At 36.6% G+C, this 16,574-nt stretch overlaps 1 pseudogene across 1 annotated transcript in view; it reads left to right on the top strand.

Moving 5' to 3' along the window:
- Positions 1-3,366: 3,366 nt before the first annotated feature.
- The window catches only part of LOC101059997 (alpha/beta hydrolase domain-containing protein 17A-like), a 30,190-nt pseudogene continuing 16,982 nt past the window's right edge, over positions 3,367-16,574 (top strand). The window contains exons 1-2 of the transcript XR_007064495.1: positions 3,367-3,461; positions 14,734-14,854. The product of XR_007064495.1 is annotated as an alpha/beta hydrolase domain-containing protein 17A-like, transcript variant X1 (transcript). The remainder of the gene's footprint in view (positions 3,462-14,733; positions 14,855-16,574) is intronic.

The following is a 16,574-nucleotide window of genomic DNA, read 5'->3' as shown; positions in this document are numbered from 1 at the left end:
TTACTTATGCAAATTTCTGCAGGAGGCTTTAATGAAAGTCGGTTTTTCTTTTCTTTTCTTTTCTTTTTTTTTTTTTTGGATTGGGAGTCTCACTCTCTTGCCCAGGCTGGAGTGCAGTGCCGCAATCTGGGCTCACTGCAAGCTCCGCCTCCCAGGTTCACGCCATTCCTCAGCCTCCCAAGTAGCTGGGACTACAGGTGCCCGCCACCACGCCTGGCTAATTTTTTTGTATTTTTTTAGTAGAGACAGGGTTTCACCGTGTTAGCCAGGATGGTCTGGATTTGCTGACCTCGTGATCCGCCCGCCTCAGCCTCTCAACGTGCTGGGACTACAGGCGTGAGCCCCTGCGCCCGGCCAAAAATCTTATACATTATAATGCTCAAATTTTATCCTTTAATAAGTCATAACGGAGAAACATGCTAATGATTTCACAATTAAATGTGACGTTCATTTAGTGTTTTGCTTTGTAATATTAAATATTTTATTGTTTTCCATGTGATACCTTTTCCTTTAAAATTCTACTTTATGTGAAATCGATGATGTTATAAATAGTCTTTGATTTTTACTTTATTAATCTTTGTACATTTTAATATCGTTAAACTTACAGGAACAGTTTGTACACTTCATGGAAATAGAGTAGAGTAATAGAGTTTGATTATTTGTTTTGTTTTCAGCTGAGGGTTTTTTTTTTTTTGGTAATTTCAGTCTTAGAGTCTTTCTTTTCAGCAGTTAGTGGTATAATTCATATTTGTTTCTCATAGCTGATTTTTTGTTTTAACTTTTGTGAACTTGCTTATAGTTTCTTTACAACTATTAGGCCGGTGCAAAAGTTATTGAAGTTTTCACTAATTATTATTATTATTATTATTATTTTGAGGCAGACTCTCCCTCTGTCGCCCAGGCTGGAGTGCAGTGGCGCGATCTCAGCTCACTGCAAGCTCCGCCTCCCGGGTTCACGCCATTTTCTTGCCTCAGCCTCCCGAGTAGCTGGGACTGCAGGCCCCGGTCACCACGCCTGGCTAATTTTTTGTATTTTTAGCGGAGACGGGGTTTCACCATATTAGCTAGGATGGTCTCGATCTCCTGACCTCGTGATCCGCCCACCTCAGCCTCCCAAAGTGCTGGGATTACAGGCGTGAGCCACTGCACCCGGCCTAATTATTTGTTTTTTAAAAGATGGTACATACGAGGAAGTAAATCAGGAAAGGAGGATAGTGATTGGTGGCAGTAGAAGTGAGTCAGTGTTACAGTTACTATTGCTGCTTAAGAAACTACCCCAAATGGCCCGGGCGCCGTGGCTCACGCCTGTAATCCCAGCAGTTTGGGAGGCTGAGACGGGCGGATCACGAGTTCAGGAGATCGAGACCATCCTGCCTAATACGGTGAAACCCCGTCTCTACTAAAAATACAAAAGTTAGCCTGGCGTGGTGGTGGGTGACTGTAGTCCCAGCTACTCGGGAGGCTGAGGCAGGAGAATGGTGTGAACCCGGGAGGCGGAGCTTGCAGTGAGCCGAGATTGCGCCACTGCACTCCAGCTTGGGCCACAGAGTGAGACTCCGTCTCAAAAAAAAAAAAGAAAAAAGAAAAAAAAAAAAGAAAAAAGAAACTACCCCAAATTTAATAAGGTAAAACAACGACCACTTCATTGTATCTCATGGATCCTATAGGTGAGAAATTCCAGCAGGATTCGTCTGAGTGATTCTTCCTCTCTCATATCATTAACTAGGGTGACTCAGTGCTATGCGGCTGGCAAACAAGTCAGTCTGGAAGGTGCAAGGTGCTTTTTTTCTGTCTTATGTATTGGTGGGGTTGTCTGGAAGGCAAGGCTCAGATGGGAGGGACTCGTAGTTATAGTGCCTGCATAGGGTGAACTTCTTTTTTTTTTTTTTTTAGACGGAGTCTCACTGTCCCCCAGGCTGGAGTGGTGTGGCCCGATCTCGGCTCACTGCAAGCTCCGCCTCCCGGGTTCACGCCATTCTCCTGCCTCAGCCTCCCAAGTAGCTGGGACTATAGGCGCCCACCACCAGGCCCGGCTAATTTTTTGTATTTTTAGTAGAGACGGGGTTTCACCGTGTTAGCCAGGATGGTCTCGATCTCCTGACCTCGTGATCCGCCCTCCTCGGCCTCCCAAAGTACTGGGATTACAGGCCTGAGCCACCGCGCCCGGCCTGTGCTCACCCATATTTCTGTTTGCTGTGTGGTGCAGTGCGACCACACGGTTCTTCAGACACAACCTCTGCTTTCTCATTTACCTCAACACTTTAACCCTTAGATTCTTTTTTACTATACTTCAGTGTATTTCCCAGGCATATATTGTCTATGAGGGATAAAATAAAATATCAATTAAAAACAAAAAAATTCAGAGAAATATTAACCATTCACTCTTCTAAGTTCTCAAAGGTTACATTCTTCACCAAATCATATAACCAGGTCCCAATAAAATACCATCATGCAGGGAATTTAACATCATGTAGTTTAAAATACCATCATGCGGGCAGCTTTCAACTAAGCATCCTGTAAGAAAAGATCATTTGTTCTTACATCTTTAAAAGTTTGGAAATTGCTATGGAAGATTATTTTTATTATATTGTCCATTGTCTGTTGCTTGAAGACATATATTTTGCTTGAGTTTAGAGTTACCAAAAAATAGTTGCTGATATATCCAGATACTATTTTATTAACTAACAATACCTATTTGAATTCTGGTTTTCCTTTTGGCCTTTAAGAACAAGGGGCTTAGGACTAAATTTTAGGCTGAAGGGTAGTGTTTCCTTCCCTAGGTTGTCCCATGTAATTGTCACCTCTTTCTCTTCATTATTCTGTCATTTTGCCCTTGTTTTATAGTGTCTGTGCCTTTCATTCTAAGCTGTCTCAGGGGCTTTTCTGGAAATACACAGTGTATAAGTACAAAATGATGAAATAAACATGCTTCTTTTTTTTTTTTTTTTTAAGACGGAGTCTCACTCTATTGCCCAGACTGGAGTGCAGTGGCACGATCTCGGCTCACTGCAAGCTCTGCCTCCTGGGTTCACTCCATTCTCCGGCCTCAGCCTCGCGAGTAGCTGGGACTACAGGCACCTGCCACCATGTCCGGCTAATTTTTTGTATTTTTAGTAGAGACGGGGTTTCACCATGTTAGGCAGGATGGTCTCGATCTCCTGACCTTGTGATCTGCCCGCCTTGGCCTCCCAAAGTGCTGGGATTACAGGCGTGAGCCACCGCATCAGGCCAACACACTTCTTTATTTTGTTTTCAAAGATGCTTGGGTGGGACTAGATGACCTCTAAGGTCCTTTCCAGCTCTAAATTTACGTTACTTTCACCAAAGACAGACAAAAAAAAAATCTGTTAGGTTATAGGTCTAGAGATGAGTGCCAAGTACTATATTCCTGCTCTAGGTGCATTTCTTGTTGAAGGCAGTGCTAGATTCAGTGACCTGTTACGGCCGTTTACAGTCTTATGGTGATAAAACAAGAGAACTGATTGCTAAAAAAAAAAAAAAAAAATTCAGTTGAAATATCTTTTTACTCTTAAGCATCAACAAAAAATAAATAGAAAACAGAAGAGTTGAGTTATTTAGTTTGAGCTATTTGTAATAAATTTGGACAACTAAGCTAAGCCCGAGTGTAGTTAATTCAATGAAATTAGTCATATTTGAATATTGTCACAACCTTACTACCACATTAGCATTAAGTGTGATTAAAATTTATTCTTTGTTTCTGTGTGAGTCTCCACAGAATCAGCTATCAACACCTTCATAATAAACTAGCCCTTCATTGCTTTCAGGAAACTTTTAGATTCAGAGCAGGTGGTTGGGCTTCTGCTTTAAAAGAGAACACATCATTTTTAAAGTCCCTTTCCTGTTTGTGTGTGTGAATTTAGAACACAGAAATTATCCATTGCATTGTTTATTTTTGCTAGGAGGTAGAAGTTCTTAAAAATATAGGAAATACTAGATATCATGTACTGATAATTTCCAAAGCTAATTATTTTTCTTAAGTCCAAGCTATAATTTAAGAGGTGTACTTGTGAAATATGAATATTGTTTTAGAGTAATAAAATGTTTCTCATGGAAAAATAGAATATGATTTTGTCGAAGTTCAAGGGAATATCCATTTTCATTCAGGTAGCTTCCAGATTTTTGTCTTTACATGTTCTGTGTAGTGATTTAAATACCGTACCTCCAAAATTTATGTCCATTAGGAACTTTAGAATGTGATTTTATTTGGAAGTAGGGTCTTTGCAGATATAATTAACCCAGTGATTGAGATGAGGTCATCCTGGGTGAAGGTGGGCCCTAAATCCAGTGTAAATGTCCTTATAACATACAGGAAAAGACACACACAAGGTCATGTGAAGATGGAGACAGAAATTGGAGTTATGCAGTCATAAATCAAAGAAGGTCAAGGATTGCCAGGAGCCACTGGAAGCCAGGAAGAAGCGAGGGAGAATTCTTCCCTAGGGTCTTCAGGGGGAGTGTGGCCCCGCCAACATCTTGATTTCAGAGGTCCAGGCTTCAGAACTATGAGAGAATATATTTCTGTCCTCTTAACCCACCAAGTGTGTGATAATTAGGTATGATGGCCCTAGGCAACTACTACACTCTAATTCAGAAGTTCTTCTGGATTTTATTGTATCATGTGTTGGTAGGAAGTACCTGGCTGTTTCAGTTGCATGATATGTGGGTAATCTTAGAATTATCATATCTTGCAAGTAATTTTAAAGTATGTTGTAATGTAGTCTGAAGCTTTTTAAATATGAAATTTAATTCATGCTGGTGTCAATTACATTTGAAAAAATACAAAAAAGCTATATAAGATTCTAGGATCTTTCAGAATTTTATAATGTTTATAATGGACAGTTGGTTAAATAAAAATTGTACCCTAAACAATTTTGTTGTTGGCTTAAAATAGCATTTAATTTATTAGTGCTCAGATAATAGTTATCCCCTAAATAGCATTTTTACTTTCATATGTTGATATCAAACAGTGAAGTGAGACAGCAAATCAGTACAACGTGGTGATTATCAAACATCATAAATCCATGAAGGATAGCCTTGATCTTACTGAGAAGAGTTTAATTTTAAAATGCATACCTGGAAAAGGCAACTTAGATTAACATTTCAAACTCACATAGCATTATTTGTGATTGATTATAGTTATAATTGATCATTTTACTTTTGGACCGTCACTTCGAATCAAATTGGGATAAATATAAATTAAAGATTGATTATTTGCTTTGAATTTTAGATTAAAAAATTCAAAAACCATAAAAACAGAGCTTTGACTATAATAAAGGTATTTATCCTTTCTTGGTAAGAATTGGGGAGGGGTTTAAGAAAAGGCTAAGCAATGTTCTATTTTTTACGTAGGCAAAAGTTCATTTGTGCTACTTTTTAATTAGGTAGTTTGTTGTTTTTTAAATGACAGCTTCCTAAACACTACTGATTTTACATGTGCAGTCATTAGCTTTTCATGTGGAAATAGTATCTTTCAAATTCACGCAGCTGCTTATTTTATGAAATGCAATGAGACTACTTACTTGCCACCTGTCTAAACTGGAATGCATAGATTCATGCCTTGCCAAATGAGGAGTTAGGGTGAAAAGTGATTAACGTCCATTCTTTAATGAGTTTCTAAGTCTTTCTGAACATGTTTTTATTCTATCTATTGCAGTGGTATAGTAACATTTTCGTGTTGGTTGCTGTACAAAGCATGATAATACCTTTATTAAAGCAATGTTAATGACATCCATAAGATATCATAAAATATTATATTCTCAATAGGAAATTTGTTATATATAAATAACAATAAAGATCGTAATAAGCTCTCCTTAATTCTGTTTATTTTGACTTCATTATTAAGTTTGGAAACATAGGTGTCAAATTTAGACATTATTTATATGTAATTATAAAGCCAAATAAATGTTAGAGATTAACTTAAAAAGAGTTTTGTGGCTTAACAATTGAAGTGAGATAGTGAGATCACAAGGGGCTTAATCATTCTGAATTGATTCTACAGATGTCTCCTTTCTCTAAATGCCCTGTAAGCTTCCTATCTTCCATGAAAGTTTATTCCCATAATCCTGGCACATAAAATTAGTCATATAACTCTTTTCCATTCTGAGATTTCAAGGATTAGGACTTTCAACATAGAGAAAACGTGCTGTGTAGAAGCTGAATGTACAAAAGGCAACACTTGGCAACGGAATCCAGTATTTCCCAAGTATTTGAGGAAACTTACAAAACCCAAATCTCTAGTACTTGCTTTCACATTTGCTATCAGAACCAGGAAGGGAGGCCTAGAAATGGTTTGAATGGAAAATTTGTTGTTGTAGAAGGGGTTCCCATTCACTGGTGAATAGACACAACGTATTTCCCAACCTTCTTTTAATCCAAGATAGCAACATTTTTACTGGAGCCAAAGATAAAACCAGTATTTAATCTCCTAGAAATTAGGAGATTTATGACTCTGGAAATGGAAAGAATTTTCATATCCAGCCACATAACCAAGTCCTGCAAGAACATAATAAACAAACCAATCAAACAACAAGAATAACAACCACAACATGGTCCCCATTCTGTCTTTAACCTCTGATAGAAAGAGCAGTAATGGTAAGACGAGAAAGCTCTCGTCAAGTGTTTTCCTCATCTACTGTTAATGATTTATTCTTACATCCTGTCCCAGTCCAATTATGAAAAAATTCTAAGAGAGATCCCTTTAACTGACTTGTAATGAATTCCAGGGTCACATTCCAGATATTGTTTTCCCCTGAAATCGTGTAAGTGCACATCAAAATACTATACTTTTGGTGTGAATCTGAGCCAAATTCTATTGTATTCTAAATAAAGTGAAACTCCTATCAGCCAATAGGGCACGGTATCAGTTTCAAATAAGACAAGTTGGTAAAGTCAGGAGAAATGACTTCCTCCTTCCTCCTGATGTGCTGTATATAGATGTATTAGCACTGCCTTTTAATATTTTATGTGTTCAACAGAGAGGGAACTAACATCTTGTTAATCCTCATTTGAAAACAATTTTGCGAATGTAAATGTAGCAGGGCTTTTGCCTTTTTTCCTTCTTCATGAAAAACAAGTAGTGCTTGGGGAGCAAGTGTTCCTGTTCAACTGCTGTCACTCATTCCCAGCTCTGTTTAGAAGAAATAAGCACAGATGGTTGGTCTACTACTTCCCCAACGAAAAATTTGCCTGTTGGCCGGGCGCAGTGGCTCAAGCCTGTAATCCCAGCACTTTGGGAGACGGAGGCGGGCAGATCACAAGGTCAGGAGATGGAGACCATCCTGGCTAACACGGTGAAACCCCGTCTCCACTAAAAATACAAAAAATTAGCTGGGCACGGTGGCGGACGCCTGTAGTCCCAGCTACTTCGAAGGCTGAGGCAGGAGAATGACGGGAACCCGGGAGGCGGAGCTTGCAGTGAGCAGAGATCGCGCCACTGCACTCCAGCCTGGGCGACAGAGCAAGACTCCGCCTCAAAAAAAAAAAATTGCTTACCTTTTTTGTGTTTTATTCCATCCTTCTCATTGTCATGTGAACAGTATTTCAAGGGAAGAAACTTCTGTAGGGATCTTTGAAATGTTTATCCACTGCTTGTGCATGAAAGAGAAAAAGAAGAAATTAATGATTTATTAAAATTCCATGAGGGGAACTCAAAAACGCTTTGTTACAAAAAAATTTAATTTAGAAACCGTGTATTTTGCATGCAAAATTAAAGTCTTCAGGGAAGTAAGTTTTTATATCAGACTTGCATCCTAAAGTACTCATTTAATGATGACAGAACCACTTCATCCATGTTAAAAATACCTGTGTGGGTCTTTTTTATTTATACTGTGGCTTAATGAAAATTTGTCTATTGTAAATATATTAAGAAAAAGAGCATAAAGACTTTTTAACATAATTTTCTAACGCTGAAAATACATACAAACAGTAAAATACCCAAATCTTAACTGTACAGCTCAATACTTCTTTTGTTTTTAAACAAACTTAGCCCTTCTGTGTATCCAGTACTCAAGTCAGGAAATTTTATATTATTACTTCTTCTAGACACTATTTCATAGGATCGCTCTTATGGTGATTTGGAACATAACTGATGAGTTTTACAATTTTTAGTGAATTAGATCGTAGAATATGTTCTGTATCTTGCTTCTTTCATTCAATATTTAGTTTATAAGATTTGTTAATCTTTTTGCATATAGTTGTAATTTGTTAGGTTCTCATTGCTATATACTATATCATTATACAAATATAAGTTCAATTTGTGGTTATTTTGAATGGTGCCTCTCTGAGCATTCATGTATTTGTCTTTTGGTAAATATTGCTGGGTATATGCTCAGGGTCATAGAATATGGTCAGATTTAGCATACATGGAAAATGGTGGTGTCCATCAGTTTACATTTCCATCCACAATGGGAGAGAGTTCTAGTTGCTCCGCATCTTTGCCAACACTTGGTATCATTTCTCTTTTTCATTTGAACTGTTCTGATGTGTATGTATCACTATTTCAATTGTGGTTATTTTGAACATTACAAAATTGGCAAAGAATAACTGATTTTATTAAATCATATTTCATTTGAAGTAACGTGGGTCTACTTTGCAGTATTTTTCCCTATTTACATGATTCATAAGAAGAGTGATCATGAGATAGTCAACAATATAACAGCTTGGAATGAGATTTTTGATCAGCTATAATTGTAATGTATTTTATCTAAATATTATTTAACTGTATTAGTAACTGTGATCATTAAGAACAGAAACAAAAGGTAAGCAAGTCCTTAGATTAACATGAAACAACATTCCTGCCTTTTGAAAGGAACTTTTCTGACCTGTAAGTAAATGATGTAAATCAATTAATAGCTTAACTGAAATTAAGAGATGAGTCTCAGCTTTCATTGCCTATATTATATCTGTGTTTCTGGAGAAACAAAAAAACAGTATGACAAACCTACAGTCTGCTAGTTTCTTCTCACCCTGCCAACAACTGTTATATTACTGTTTAGCTGGTTATGTGCAACCATTTGTTCAGGATTGTTTTGTTTTGCTTAGTTTTACTTTTTAAGGCAGAGTCTTGCTCTGTTGCCCAGGCTTGAGGTCTATGAGTTACACTCAGGGTCACGTGGTCAACGAGATGTAATCACAGCTCACTGCAGCCTTAACCTCCTGGGCTCACGTGATCCCCCTGCCTCTGCTTCCTCAGTAGCTGGGACTACAGGTGCATGCCACGACACCCGGCTTGTTGAGCAGAGTTTTGATGAAAATCATTCATCCCTTCTTAATCACAAACAGTGAAACCTTAGAAAATGTAATTAGAGAGAAAAATAACATTTTGCACCAAGCTAATTGTATCTTTACCTTTTATTAGTTGGTTTCAGGATTGGTACTTGTTGATGGTTCTGTTTTGGAGTGTGCGTTCCCTGGGTTTAACTCCTTGCAGCACACTTTATATACGTTGTGTGGCCTTACTTGAGTAACTTAAGTTGCTTAACTTCTCCAGATCCCAGATTCTCAACCTGTAGAATGGAAGTAATTATAATACAAACATTATGTGGTGGGTTAGTCCAGGTCCTCCAAGAGGTAGATGTTGAAAACGAGTTAAACACAAGAGGATTTTATTAAGGGAAATCCCTGTGAGAGAAAATGGAGAGGAAGCTGAGTAAGCCTGGAAGAGGTCTCAGCTATGAGGCAAGTCTGACCTAGAATGAAGGAAAGAGGAAAGGAAGGTTGAGTGGAAGCACTGGAGCGTAATGTACAGTCTAAGGAAGGGTGAGAAAAGGCTTCAGGGAATCCTGAGCCAAGACTGGTCCTCAGAGAAGCCCTGTGTCTCCTAAAGAGGGATCTGCATTAGCCACCCTGTGGGCCTCAGTCATTGACTGAGGGGCAGATGCAGAAACAGATTTTAGAGTGAAGCAGCAAGTGGCCGTAGGCAGTTAGGCTTCCCATACTTTGAGGTCTATGAGTTTATTTATTTATTTATTATTTATTTATTTAAATTATACTTTAAGCTCTGGGTTACATGTGCGGAACTTGCAGTTTTGTTTCATAGGTATACACATGCCATGGTGGTTTGCTGCACCCATCAACCCATCACCTACATTAGGTATTTCTCCTAATGTTATCCCTCCCCTACACCCCCACACCCCACAGGCCCCAGTGTGTGATGATCCCCTCCCTGTGTCCATGTGTTCTCATTGTTCAACTCCTGCTTATGAGTGAGAACATGCGGCGTTTGGTTCTCTGATCTTGTGATAGTTTGCTGAGAATGATGGCTTCCAGCTTCATGCATGTCCCTGCAAAGGACATGAACTCATGTCCTTTTTTATGGCTGCATAGTATTCCATGGTGTATATGTGCCACATTTTCTTAATCCAGTCTATCACTGATGGACATTTGGGTTGGTTCCAAGTCTTTGCTATTGTGAATAGTGCCACAATAAACATACGTGTGCATGTGTCTTTATCGTAGAATGATTTATAATCTTTTGAGTATATGCCCAGTAATGGGATTGCTGGGTCAAATGGTATTTCTAGTTCTAGATCCTTGAGGAATTCACACACTGTCTTCCACAATGGTTGAAGTAAATTACACTCCCACCAATAGTGTAAAAGCATTCCTGTTTTTCCACAACCTCTCCAGCATCTGTTGTTTCCTGACTTTTTAAGGACTGCCATTCTAACTGGAGTGAGATGGTATCTCATTGTGGTTTAGATTTGCATTTCTCTAATGCAGGTCTATGAGTTTCTTATTCATGGTCACTAAAAGATGTTTATCATGAATTGAAATCTCCAGATAAGAGTAAAGCAATGCCTAATTCATAGTTACGCACTTATCAATTTATTTATTCATATTATTCATTATCATTATGAATATTCAACACATTAATAAAAGAGTCACATGTGCAATCTACTTGGGGTATTGGGAGAGTAAAGAATAACATAGTGGTGCTACAGGTAATTTAAGAGATGGTTTCTCTCTCTCTCTCTCTCTCTATGTGTGTGTGTATATATATATATATATATATATATATATATGACACAGGTATAATTATTTTCCTTCTACTATTTGTTATTGATGTATACTGCCAAATCCCTAACGGATACTGGAATACTTAACTCTAAGCTCCCCCCACGCCTACAAAAGAAGTGGGTACAAGGTTAGTTTTTAAATCAAAAGATTTATTAATAGTATTTTTATCATGTCCAATTGATATTATCATTATCAAAAAGTTTAATCACTTATTATTACTTGAAGGACCTCGTTAGGAAATATTCGATCCACTTTTTTTGTTTTTTTTTTTTTTTGAGACAGAGTCTCATTCTGTCACCTAGGCTGGAGTGCAGTGAGGTGATCTCGGCTCACTGCAAGCTCTGCCTCCCAGGTTCACACCATTCTCCTGCCTCAGCCTCCCGAGTAGCTGGGACTACAGGCGCCCGCCACCACGCCCGGCTAATTTTTTGTATTTTTAGTAGAGACGGGGTTTCACCGTGTTAGCCAGGATGGTCTCGATCTCCTGACCTCGTGATCTGCCCGCCTCGGACTCCCAAAGTGCTGGGATTACAGGCATGAGCCACCGCGCCTGGCCTGTTCCACTTCTTAAAACTGGTCACTGGAAGTACATCGTCTTGGGAAGAACTGGATATTTCTTGAAACCCCTTTCATATAGCCATATTCTCAAACATAGAACCTTCTTTTATTTTTTTCAAAGATTTTTTTCCATTACTGTAGAAAATTCAGAGGGTGTTTATGGATAGTGCAGTACTCCGCTCAAATACAGGGAACGAAAGTTACATTAAAATGATAATATTTTTTGCTGAAAAGTATTATGATATTTAATGTAAGCAAACAAATTACTCAGGTGATAGTGTTTTGTTTTCATTTTTTAAATGTCTTGGCCGGGCGCGGTGGCTCAAGCGTGTAATCGCAGCACTTTGGGAGGCCAAGGCGGGCGGATCATGAGGTCAGGAGATCGAGACCATCCTGGCTAACACAGTGAAACCCCGTCTCTACTAAAAATACAAAAATTAGCCGGGCGTACTGGCGGGAGCCTGTAGTCCCAGCTACTCGGGAGGCTAAGGCAGGAGAATGGCGTGAACCCGGGAGGCGGAGCTTGCAGTGAGCCGAGATTGCGCCACTGCATTCCAGCCTGGGCGACAGAGCCAGACTCCGTCTCAAAAAAATAAATAAATAAACATAAATAAATAAATAAATAAATAAATAAATAAATAAATGTCTTACTTCAATAGCTTTTGGAGCACAAGTGGTTTAGGTAACATGGATAATTTGTATAGTGGTGAAGTCTGAGATTTTATTGCACCTGTCACCTGAGTAGTGTACATTGTACCAAACATGTAGCTTTTTTATTCCACACCCACCTGCCAACTTCCCCCTTATGAATTTCCAGAGCCCATTATATCACTCAGTGGAGAGTCTTCAACATTCAGGGTGGAATCTTCAGGGTGTGGCCCTCTATCCATTGCTTTCCAACGTTTGTACTCTCTGCTTTGTGAATAGAGGCCTGTTCTCCCTGTCTGCCTTGTTCACGTACCTTTGCCGTTTTCCTTGCTGGGATGACATCCTTTGCCCTGAAGTTCTCATTAACCATACCATAGATGTCCTCTTCTTACCTCAATACATCCAAGGCTACCTCAAGTTATAACTTCTCCTTTAGTTTTTCCCTAGTGTCTGAGTTCAAATGGGCTTCTCTATATCCAGAATATCTACCACCTGTCTTATCTTTCCTCACACGTGGCACGTGCAGTTCCTTCCATCTACTTTCATAATGTTGTATTTTAACGGTTCAGTTGTGTTTATATTACACTCTTCTGTCAGGCAAACAAGGGTATTTATATGGCTGAAATCTACGGTATTTTTTAAATGTAGTAAAATGTAATGAATAAGCATACAAATGAATGAGTTAATTAATCTGTTATATTCTTGGTTAAGTAATGAGCATTATGAGGACAAAAATTGAGTCTTACACCTTCTTATAATCCTAAAGACCTAGTACAGGACTTGGAATATAGCATTCACTTAAGACATCTTTGTGACTAATGAATTTAAATATTTTTATTAATTCTAAGTTGACGTATGATTGTAATTTGGGGAAGGTAGTGAAATTTCAAATGGCTTTCACCACCTGTGAAATGACCCTTTTTACCTACCACATGATTTACCAGATCTTTGTTTAGGTGAACCTAGGCGAAAGCAGATTGTTTCCTCTACTTAGGAAATACTTCGCACATTTTCGTTGCTTATAAATTTGATGATTTTAATTTGTACAGTTATAATTTATGATATTGACTTGTACAGTTATATATATTTTACATATAATATATATTATATATTATATATAGTTATACTATATATAATTTTATTTTCTAAAGTAAAGAATATCATTACACATTAACAAAATAGATATAACTGTTTTCTTTCTACTATTTGTTACTGGTGTATACTGCAAATCCCTAATGGATACTGAAATTCTTATCTCTAAGCCCCTCTATGACTATGAAAAGAAATGGGTTCAAGTTTATTTTAAAAATCAAAGAGTTTATTAATAATATTATTGTTATCATGTCCAATTGATACTATCATTATTAAAAAGTTTAATCACTTATTTCTTGAAGGACCTAATTAGGAAATATATATGTGTGTGTATATCTATATTCTATCTATATATATCCTATATCTATATTCCATATATATTCTATATCTATATTCTATATCTATATTCTACATATATTCTATATATAGTCTATCTATATTCTATCTATATCCTATATATAGTCTATCTATATCCTATATATAGTCTATATATATTCTATCTATATCCTATATATAGTCTATATATATTCTATCGATATCCTGTATATAGTCTATATATATTCTATCTATATCCTATATATAGTCTATATACTCTATATATCTTATATAGTCTATATATATTCTATATATATCCTATATAGTCTATGTATATTCTATATATATCCTATATAGTCTATGTATATTCTATATATATCCTATATAGTCTATGTATATTCTATATATATCCTATATAGTCTATGTATATTCTATATATATCCTATATAGTCTATGTATATTCTATATATATCCTATATAGTCTATGTATATTCTATATATATCCTATATAGTCTATGTATATTCTATATATATCCTATATAGTCTATGTATATTCTATATATATCCTATATAGTCTATATGTATATTCTATATAGTCTATATATATTCTATATGTGTATCCTATATATATTCTCTATACATATTCTATATATATATACACACACACACACACACATATATAGTAGCCTGATATTTAAAAAATAAGATTGGGACTGCGTAAAATAAGCTCACCCAGACAATAGGGGTACAGACATATGTATAATTCAGCAAGAACTGGTAACAAAGTGAGATATGTCAACTCTTTGTAGCATATTGTTAAGTAGTATTAAAAAACAAGTAATTTTTGGTTGGGTCCATTGAGAGAATAACATTATTTTTAGAATGATCTAATGGCACAATAAGCATTTTAGCATTTTACCTGCAAAAGCATTATAGCTGTGCCAGTTTCTGTTCCAAGAAAAAAATACATTGGTGTATTCTCTAAAGGAGGAAATTCTGACCTCAACTATGTTCAGATAGCTGTGGCAGATAATACTCTGATCAGGTACTAAGTCATATATCTTTCACATTTCCCTTTGCTAGTTATACTCAGCATGTGGTTGGAAATGGAATCAAAGCCCAGTCTGGAAATCCTGAAGTCAAAGTCAAAGGAACTGATCCTGTGATAAATCAGATTATTGATAAACTGAAGCATGTTATTCAGGTAAGTCCTGATCCTATATTTTTTGGTATAGCCAATAATAAATAATAAGTGGTCACTTTCTGTTATACTTGATAAATTTGTTAACCCTATCAGGTAATCCTGCCTAAAATATTGTAACACATTATTTGTATCAGGACTTTTGGGAATATTTAGTTTAATGATTTTTGTATGCAGTCAATATGCAGTGGTATTTTAATGTTGGACAATCTGTATATGTGAAAAGCAAGCCTCAGCCTCAGCATTTCAATAATGAGAATCTCAGGACATGCATTGTCTTCAGTGAATAAGTTTGAACGTGGGAATCACTGTGACCATTAAAGAAAACACATAGAAGACCATAGAAGATGCCAGAGTTTTCTTTCAGGTAATTCTCTGAATGTTGCTATGAAGGTTTTTGCAGCATTTCAATACAAATTAGGTCATAGATGAATAATATGTACTTCTAATATTTATTTCCTATATCACCTTTTATATGTTATCTTATAATCTACCTAATGGTTGTTTATGAAATACTTCTGTTTTATCTTCAATAATATTTTTCATCAAGTGAGTGTGTATTGCTGTTTTTAATACATGACAAATGAAGCATGAACATATTTATCAAAATAATATTTCATTGAAATAGTCTATTAATTAGAACCAAACATGATGTTGCATGTTGTAAATATTACTCTGCATTCTGCATCTATTGATGTTTGGGGAAAGAAAGGCTATTTTTTTTTTTAGTTAATAGTCATTTTATAAAAATTTATATTTGAATATACTTTCATTTTTCCTAAGCAGAACTTTGCATGGCTAGTTGATGCTTATTTCTAGTATCGTGCATCAGAAACAATACCTAAATAGTACAGAGTTTTTATTGCATACAACATATTCCAGAGTCAGTAGTAGGCTTCTCATAATTGTTCTGCAAAGACAAAGCTTAAGTTTATGCAGAGCCAATTCCTGGGTTTCCATTTTTCACGAGTCCCTATCTCTCAAGGAGAGGATATGTAAGAAGGACTTGGGGGTTGGTGTCCAATACCATAGACTTCTCCCTTCTGTGAGGCAACAATGCTTATTCTACCATTGATACCTATAGAAAACAGCTCTCACCCTGGCTGGCAAAACCAAAAATAAATTCTACTGGAAAAGTCTAAGAGAAAAGTGGTATCATGACTACTGATGAGTTAAACCTTCCAGCCTCTGCTGAGCTGGTCCAGTTGGTACCTCACAGTATCGTCCACTGTAGTATAATATGTACAGCTAGATTATTTGAAAATTCGACCGCATAATTGATAATAAAACCAAAAGAGCTTTAATATTAATGTTCTCTCATTGAGGAGTGAGTACAATCTCACTGTGAGGACACAGTGAAATCTTAGGGGTTTCTTAAGTGGGGTAAGCATTCCACAGAGGATGGAGGAAGAAAAACTAGAACTTAAATATATATTTATTCCATCTCATTCTTTTATATTTCTTTGGTTGTAGTAAGGTATATAAAATATGTAATGTATTAGTGCAATAGCATATACATATAATTTATAAATACATAAATATACATATTAACTGGACATTTGTTCAGATTGTTTTTCTAAGATATATACATGATGAAAGCAGAACAGAAACCCTGTTACAGATAATAAGGATAGAGCTGTTCCATGAGAAGTGCAGTTATAAGAAAACACATTCACAGAGGAACACATAGATACCCAAGATAGAAAGGATTATAAAAACCCTT

Source organism: Homo sapiens, chromosome 15, assembly GCF_000001405.40.
Source record: "Homo sapiens chromosome 15, GRCh38.p14 Primary Assembly".
In the NCBI taxonomy this organism is placed as follows: Eukaryota; Metazoa; Chordata; class Mammalia; order Primates; family Hominidae; genus Homo; species Homo sapiens.
Note: the sequence above shows the minus strand (reverse complement) of the source record. Positions and strands in the feature narration are given on the sequence as shown.